The sequence below is a fragment of the Homo sapiens genome, chromosome 3 (assembly GCF_000001405.40).
Source record: "Homo sapiens chromosome 3, GRCh38.p14 Primary Assembly".
NCBI lineage: Eukaryota > Metazoa > Chordata > Mammalia > Primates > Hominidae > Homo > Homo sapiens.
Window position 1 is genome coordinate 162,040,368 of NC_000003.12, and position 8,956 is coordinate 162,049,323.

The 8,956-nt window shown below is 39.3% G+C and overlaps 2 annotated features.

The window, feature by feature from the left end:
* Positions 1,157-1,708: an enhancer, noted in NCBI's record as "OCT4-NANOG hESC enhancer chr3:161759312-161759863 (GRCh37/hg19 assembly coordinates)". NCBI's record gives its function as "activates a minimal SCP1, AML or CMV promoter by ChIP-STARR-seq in naive H9 embryonic stem cells {active_cell/tissue: H9 hESC(naive)}" and the evidence as "EXISTENCE:reporter gene assay evidence [ECO:0000049][PMID:30033119]".
* Positions 7,390-7,559: an enhancer, noted in NCBI's record as "experimental_65908 CRE fragment used in MPRA reporter constructs". NCBI's record gives its function as "activates a minimal promoter by MPRAs in K562 erythroleukemia cells, with activity observed for both the introgressed and non-introgressed 3:161765630 variant alleles {active_cell/tissue: K562}" and the evidence as "EXISTENCE:reporter gene assay evidence [ECO:0000049][PMID:34662402]".

The window sequence follows — 8,956 nt, forward strand, 5'->3', positions numbered from 1 at the left end:
TACTTTGAACCATTTGTCCTCGTTTATAGATTTTTAAATTTCATACATCATTATGCCCTTATGCACTGTGATTAGCAAACCAAATTTTAGTCTGATTCCACGTTTAAACCTTTGTGTTTTTCAAGTACATTGTGTTTTTCAAGTACATATACATGTGTCTATATATATATGTATAGACACATGTATATGTGTGTATGTGTATGCATATACATAAAAAAAGTTTATAAAAGTGACATGCACCTGATAAAATATCAAGTAATAAATACCTTCTTAGCATTAAGTTCCACTCATCATATTTTAAATTATTTTAGCTGTTGCTTTTAGTATTACCTCCAAATATTTATTGTTTACTAATTTAACTATTTGTTAAGTATTTGTTTATATTATGAAAAATGAGAAACAACTATTATCTCTCTTCTATACTCCTATTTTAATTGTATTTTTATGTTGGTTTAGTGCATTCTTATTATTATGATATGTAAAATTAATCACTGGAACACCCCCAAAAATGATAATTTATTTGTTTATTTCCTTCTTTCTCTTTTCCTTTCTTATTTTCTTCCTTCCTTCCTGTCTCTTTTTTACCCTTAGATTCTAATTGTCTTTTCACAATTTCTTCTAATACTAAACACTTGCTTAGTGCTTATTGTCTACCAGGTACTATTTTCAGTGTTTCACGTGTATTCATTCATTTTAATCTCATAATAATCTTTTAATGTGGATACTATAATTATCATCCCCATTTTATAGTGGGGAAGACTGAAGACCAGAGAATGAGACAATGGTAGAAGTCACACAACCAGGAAGGGATAGAGCTAGAATATGTACACAAGCAGTATGATTTCAGAGTCATAATGTTAAATACAATGTTACCTTCTTGCTGTTCTTAGTTTTTCAAAAGCTCAATCACATGAGAAACTCTTATAATTTATTCCCACAAGGAAACTTTGCCTCCTAGCTTCTGTGTTTTCCATACAGAAACAAAAAAGACCATTAGACTACACCTCCAAATGGCTTTGGCAAATGAGAAATATCATTGTGTGGCCCTACTACTGATCCAGAAATATCATCTGATCAGATCTTGAGCAACATCTGAGGAGCAGAAGGAAGTCTGTTTTGGGTTAAGAGAGAAACCTCAGATAACTGCCTCAAAAGGGCCTTTCTTCATTGATCCAGTTCCCACAATTTTTATAGTCAGCACTGGAAGCTTCTCTTAGTTCCTGGGCTTTGTTAACAATAGAGGTCTCAATTTCACCTTAGTTGATTTTTTCTTAAGTAATTATTTTTTATTATTTTAGAGTTTCAATTTCCTATGCACTTTCTGGTTCCCGGCTGTGACACAGCTGCCCATCTGATTAATTATTTTCATGTGGTCTTCATTTCAAACCTGTCCTCTTTTCTCTCTTCCCCTCCCTGCTGAGTCTCAGCATTCCTTGCCCTCAGGAATGGGCAAGGAGGGCCACCTGCTGTTACACATCCCCCTAACCTGAGGACTTTCTGTTCTCACTTGTCTTCAGGTGGTCATCCTAAGGAATTTGCAAGGATGGCCCAGGTAGTAACTATTCTGTTCTCAACTGCTGGTACTTTTATTTGATAAAACTTTAAAAGAAAATTGCTTAGATTAAAGCTTTATCTTAAAAATAAATGACAGATTTGACTTAATGATGTAGGAAGCTAGGGAGGCCTATTTTCCCTAATTTAAATTAATTCACCTCTGTCTGCACTAATAACTTATGGATGAATTGAACCTCTGGGTAAAATTGTAGTGGCTATTAGAGTACAAAATGTAATCTCACTAGACGTTACATATTCAACATTATTTCACATTAAAAACTTGATAAAAATTCATCTCTCCTTTTTTTCTTTGCCATACAACAGATAACCCTTTCTTTGGTTCCCATTTACTCAAATTCTAGGTGTTCTTGATTGCAGACTCTTGGAAGCTGTTAAAATGCATTGTCCTCTTAGGCAGACCATAAACCGAGCTAGTATTGAGAGAAGCTAAAGCCATTATGATTTCATCAAACGCCTTGAGTTTATGAGAAGCAAAACCACAGGTATTAGGTAGGTGCATAAAAAATCGAGTCAAACTCTAGACAAGGATCAAGATTCTAGGGATCTAATCCAGAGGGTAAAATTGTGATATAACCTCAGATATGCTGGGGGACATGGTGACAGTAATTTGTGGGGTAATCCATTCTCTAAGGATAGAATTACCTAAGACTATCAAAGTTTGGGGAAACAGGAATAGGAGGCATGTGATGATAAAACATGCCCCCAGTTGACTGGAGACAATAGGACTCTCTTACCAGAAATGCAAAACGATCAACTGTGAAGTGATAGAGCTAGGTAGTGGTGGCTTAAAATGCAGATGTGAGAGAGTGACAGAAAAATGCCAGGACCCAAGAGACTGTAGAATGGGGGCCAGGCAAGTGGCCTTATTTTTCCACACATTGTTTGGAGAGGTTGTCAATTGATAATGTTACTGAAGTTTTTGGCCTGTTGATTCCTTTTAAAATATGTATCATTGTAGTAAAATACACACAACATAAAATTTACCATTTTGACTATTGTTAAATGTACAGTTCTGTGGCATGAAATACATCCATATTGTTGCCCAACCAATCACTGAAACTCTTTCATCGTGCAAAACGGAAACTCTCTGCCTATTAAACAACAACTTCCTCTTCCCTCAGCCCTGGCCAACCACCATTCTACTCTCTGTCACTATGAATTTGACTACTCTAGATACCTCAGATAAGTGGAATTATAGTGTATTTGTCTTTTTGTGACTGACTTATTTCATTTAGCCTAATGTCCTCAAGGTTCATTAATGTTGTAGTGTATGTCTGAATTTTCTTTATAAAGCTGATTAATAATATTCCATTGTGTGTATAAGTGTATGTTTGTGTGTGTGTGTTTGTATATCACATTTTATTTATCTGTCTATATTATAATATAAGAAACAACAAAACAAATGGGCAATAAAAAATGCTAAAACCACAAATCCATTGTGTCCCAGAGAAGTGGTATACCCAGCCCAGGATTTGAGTTCTTGTTTTGAATAGCTGATTATGATTGGAACTGATGAATGGCAATGACCTTTTTTTTCTTTTCTGCAAATGTCAGTAATCTTCCAATCTCCACACTGGGCTTACATTATAACCTTACATACCATTCAGCTCTTACTTATATATTGTCTCGTTGTTTTCTAAATATTTAATTCCAGTTTTTATTGCTTCTACCAGAATTTGAGTTATTTGAGGTCTGAAGTCATGTTTGAGGCATAGATAGTCCTCACTGTTATATATTTTTTGTGACTTGCAAACTTCATACAATGAATTGCTCTTTTTGCTTATTTTTTGAAATTTTGTCTCCTGTTAAGAGTGCACATTTTGCTTTCTCTTCACGGCCAATTTATTTGTTATTTCAAATAAACTTTCAACTATAATTTCACATACTTTATATACCATCTTCTAAAGTCATGTATGATTCTATCATTTCTAATTTTATGTTTTTTATATTTTCTTTTTTCTCTTGTGTATCTAGAAGTTTATTTCACTTTTCTCCCCAAAGGAGCTGCTCTTGAATGTGCATGGACACCTTTTCCCTGCCTAGGTATATTAACATTTATATTTTATTTTATGTTTTCTTTTAGTATGCTTTTGTTACGTGTTTATATCTACCTCCTGTAAAGCTCGACTCTTTTCGTCTCAGTGTACGGTATTTTTATCTTTTGTTTACATTTGTGTGTCATAGTGTCCGCGTATTTTTTAAGGGTAAAAAGCTGAGGCCCTCTATGATTTATTTTCTAAAATTAGTCAGTATTGGTTGTTTATTTGTCTTAAATATGGTATGTTCCCTCTTCATCTTTTTAGTGTTATATTCTATTTCTCTATGTTAAATAATTTTAAAAATTCTTGATTTATTTTGTGTTGCTATTTATTGTTTGCTGTTGTTGCATTTCAAGTTAAACCTTGCAAAAAAATTATCTTACTCAGGGATATTACTTGCCTGAAAACTGGGTGGATTAATTGCCCTGTTTTGATTTTAGGATTCCCCTCTCAGATTTTAAGCTGTTTCCTTTCCTTCTTTCCTTCCTTCCTTCCTTTCTTCCTTCCTTCCTTCCTGATCTGAGGGGAATGGAAGGTTTGCTTCCATAGGTAATGTAGCAGGACAAGCCACAGACAAAATGCCTCAGACACTGAGTTAAAGAAGGAAGGGCTTTATTCGGCCGGGAGCTTCGGCAAGATTCACGTATCCAAAAACCAAGCTCCCTGAGTGAGCAATTCCTGTCCCTTTTAAGGGCTCACAACGCGTGAGAGGGTTGTGATTGATTGAGCAAGCAGGGGGTACGTGACTGGGGGCTGCATGCACTGGTAATCAGAACAGAACAGAACAGGACAGGGATTTTCACAATGCTTTTCCATACAATGTCTGGAATCTATAGATAACATAACCAGTTAAGTCAGGGGTCGATCTTTAACCAGGCCCAGGGCATGACACCGGGCTGTCTGCCTGTTGGTTTCATTTCTGCCTTTTAGTTTTTACTTCTTCTTTCTTTGGAGGAAGAAATTGGGCATAAGACAATACGAGGGGTGGTCTCCTCCCTTATTCCCCCTCTTTGAGAATTTCACTCAATAGTGGGAGTTCTCACTTTCATTCTCACTACCTGTGTCGTTTTGCAAGACAGATCAATAGTGATTAATATAGTACACTTGCGCTGAAGCATTTTGGTGAACTAAGGTAGCAATGAAGCTTTTGATCATTTGAGGAAGTACAGGTAGAAAACAACAGAACAGTAAGCAGGTTTCTATTACTATTATAACTTCTATTATAAGGGTTTTAAATCTTTCTAGAGCTGGGAACCATTTTCCAAACATGGCCCCAGGATCAAATCCATGCCACACTTGCATGGGTACATGTGCCAGTTATGTCATATTTCTAACTATGTCTTCAACTATTTGCCCTTGATGATCTATGTGTAGATAGCTATTAGTAAGGTTAAATTTCTCACAGACCCCTCCTTCAGCTGCTAGCAAGTAGTTGAGAGCCAATCTATTCTGATAGATAGCATTTCTCATCTGAGTTTCTTGAGGGGCCAGAGTAGTCAAGGCTCTGCTGGTCTTATTAGTGATTATTTCTAAGAGAGCTTGTAACCGTATGATTCAGCTGAGCATGTAAATGTGGGTCCGGTATCCCCACAAGCCATCTTGTGCCCATGTAGCAGGCCCATAATATTGTATGATTCTCTCAGGGGGGCCATTCATTATCTTTCCAATTTCCTATAGCTATGCTTCTCTTTTCGCGGGAAGCATAGACAGGGAAGCCCAGGAGTTCACCTGTCTTTATGGGCAGTAGGAAGAAAGATGGTTTAATAGTGTCAATAACACAACTACCTGCCCACTGGTCAAGTAATTTGGCGTAAGGTCTATGCCCACATACACAGTATAATCCAGTGGGGGCTGTCCAGTCCCAGTGGGACTCCGGGTGGGTCTCTGGGTGGGTCCACACAATTTGCAACTTTGGGAATTTACTAAATGGATTTTTCTTAGTGTGGTTTGAACTCCACTAGGTGGCTGTTTTTGTAGTACTATTATACAGTTTTTGCCCAAGGCAGCTGAGTCTTCCCACAGGAAGAGTGAAGTCCTCCCCCACTCTTGCAATACAGTATTGTCTAATGATTGAGGCTTTTAGGACCCAGAAGTTATCAGGGTGATTCTTTTGAGTCAGGAATTTATTGGGAACTGGGTCTGTAGGTACTAATTCTCAGGCTTCCCATGGCCATTGATATCCCATTACAGTTCTTCCACATACATAACATGACGTGACATTGAGAGAATTGGCTACATGTTCAGCTAATTGCAAAAACAAATTTCTTGTTTTTCCTGGAATTTCTGGTACTGGCGCATTCAGTTCATCATAGAAGGTTTGAAATACTGGCTCAGGAGAGCGTTTATAAACTCCTCAAACCATGATATTTACTCGAGGATCCAGTCCAACCCCCTTGATTTCAAGGGTTATACGCTCCCCTTTTTTCCAGCAAGGATCAAGGGGATTGGTTATTACTAGTTCGAAGGGGTTACACTGACAACTGGTACAGGAAGGGCCACTTTTCCCTTTCTGAAGGTGGACAAGATTCTTTTTTCTTTTTTATCCAAGTAGCCTAAATGGCACGAGACCAGTATCCACATTGATTTCCACACAGTCCTAATTTATGAAAAATGCACTTATTTTCTGCCATATAGACTCCTTTTAAATTAAGAGAATCACATCTTTTTCCTAACTTATTACTATTAATGACAGCACAGTCATCAAATTTCAAGGTGACTTGTTTGGGCACCCCTCTTTCTTCTGTTTTGGCTAACACTTTACTCGTATCATTTATGAACCCCCACCAGTCCTCAGTCCTTAATCTTATTTTAAAAACTGTGGTCATGGGAGGCTCAGATGGGTCATAACACACATCAGGTTGGTCATTTCCTGGGCTATGTACCTTGTATAGAATAGCATTATACAAACAAGTTCTTTTTAGAGTCCTGGTACACTTATAATAACCACAAAATAATAGGACTGTAGCAACTTTTTGTCCTACCTCAGTGAATTGATGTATACACTGGGAAAAGTCCTCAGTCTGAGGAAGGTCAGTTGAAGTCCTTACCGTACAAGTCCAAATTTTAAGGAAAATGAGTCCCGCGATGAGTTTTCTCAGCTTCAGCCGTGCATGAACCAGTCAGCTTCTGGGTGTAACTGGAGCAGGGCTTGTCGTCTACTTCAGAGTCACTTTGCAGGGGTTGGCGAAGCTGCTCCTGCCCACGTACAGCTCACAGTCTACTGATAGTCAAGGATGGTCTCAGAGGTTGGGCCCACTAGAATAAAATGAGTCCAATACCTCTACATGTTTATGTTCAACTGGGCTCTCTGATACCAGGAGTAAGGTGGCGGGATTTAGGGTGTTGCAAGCTTCAGTGGTTATGCGGGGATTTTCACATAGTAAGCTTTGGTACTTGGTTATTCTAGCGTTTGTTAGCCAATGATGTCCTTTGGTATTCCTCAAAGTTACCACAGCATGGGGGGGCTTTATATTCGGGTTTTGCCCAAGGGTTAGTTTATCTGCTTCTTGTGCTAACAGCACCGTTGCTCCCAGGGCCCTTAGACATGGGGGCCAGCCTTTGGAAACCCCATCTCATTGTTTTGAGAGATAGGCCACAGGCCTTGGCCAGGGCCCCACAGTCTGGGTTAAAACTCCAACGCCATTTTTTCTCTTTCTGACACATAGAGTATAAAGGGTTTTGTCAGGACAGGTAGCACCAGGGCTAGGGCCAACATGAGTTTTTCTTTTAACTAATGAAAAACTTGCTGCTGTTGGTTGTAATAGATGTAGTTTATCCAATCTACATTTTTATTAACTGTCACCCGCCAAAATATTGACTCAAATCCTGCAGCTCTTTGATTTCAAGCTTTAAGTTGATCTGGTATTCCCCGTGGGACTCCAATTGTGTCTAAATAGACGTGAGAGTCAAAAGACCCATAAGGGGCTTCTCTCGCTTTATGATGTCTTATTTTTCCTCCCTCTGATTGATGAAATGCCAGGGTGAAAGGGATAGCCAATTGGACTAAAGTACAAGTGCCACTCCAGTTATTCAGCAGAGTGCCCACCACAATACCACCACACATCCACTCGGGGATGAACAAGGGCTGACTGATTGATAAGCTCTGGAAAATTCTTAAGCTCACTGCATCCCTTCAGATCTCCAAGGAGCACTAAGTTTCCTCCCTGTCGTGAGAGACACGATGTGAACTTAGTGTTGGGAGAGGGAAGCTGGATGGCCCTTGGGGGCTGACCTGCAGGGTGCCAGACTTTGGAATATAGTGGAGAGAGCTTGGCATGACTTATTACTCCAGGCTGTAGAATCCTGGAAAAGAGCAACCATTCAGCCCACGCCTGGTCAACTGGAGGACAACCTTAGTGGAAAGGGGAAAATCTGAGCCTCTGGCCTGGCATGTGCACAAGCATAACAATTGCTTTTGTTTAACGTGCTAATGGAATATTTGATCCATTTCAACCACGCATTTGCATCTTGGTATCCTGTTTTAATTGCCAAAGTTTGTTTTAAGTCTTTAACTTCTGTGATCCTCTAGTAAAATGAAAGTATGATTATAGGAAATTACAAAAACTGGTTGGGGCACTCTATCCTTGCTCTTTAGTGGTCCACAGAACATTGGACCAACTATGGCATAAAAGCTCTACATTGGGGGGCAAGACTCCTGGTTGACACTGGAGTCTTTATTGAAATTTCCCAGGATTAAATGGTCCTAATTTACTAATGCCCAGTCTGAGGAGAGTCAGGAGGGACAGAGGTACTTTTCTGAAGTAGAGAGCTATCTTTGACTTGGCAAGTCCCCACAGGGTATAACAAGGCAAGCATTAAATGCAATAGTTTGAGATGAAATTGACGTGGTTATGTTAATAACTAGATGGTCAGCAATAGAGCAAGGAAAGAAGAAAGAGTAGGCTGGGTGCGGTGGCTCACGTTTGTAATCCCAGCACTTTGGGAGGCTGAGGAAGGTGGATCACAAAGTCAGGAGATCGAGACCATCCTAACACGGTGAAACCCCGTCTCTACTAAAAATACAAAAAATTAGCTGGGCCTCGTGGTGGGCTCCTGTAGTCCCAGCTACTCGGGAGGCTGAGGCAGGAGAATGGCGTGAACCCAGGAGGTGGTACTTGCAGTGAGCCGAGATCATGCCACTGCACTCCAGCCTGGGCAACAGAGTGAGACTCCATCTCAAAAAAAAAAAAAAGAAGAAGAAGAAAGAGTAATAGAATAGATGAAAGAGTTAAATTTTTCTTAGCTTTAGTTTGGTAGGGTTTTCCTCTGGGACTATGGCCCACAACTCTGGAGGGGGTGGCTCTTTCTTGACTCGGTTGTGATGAGTCCATCCTTTTTTCACT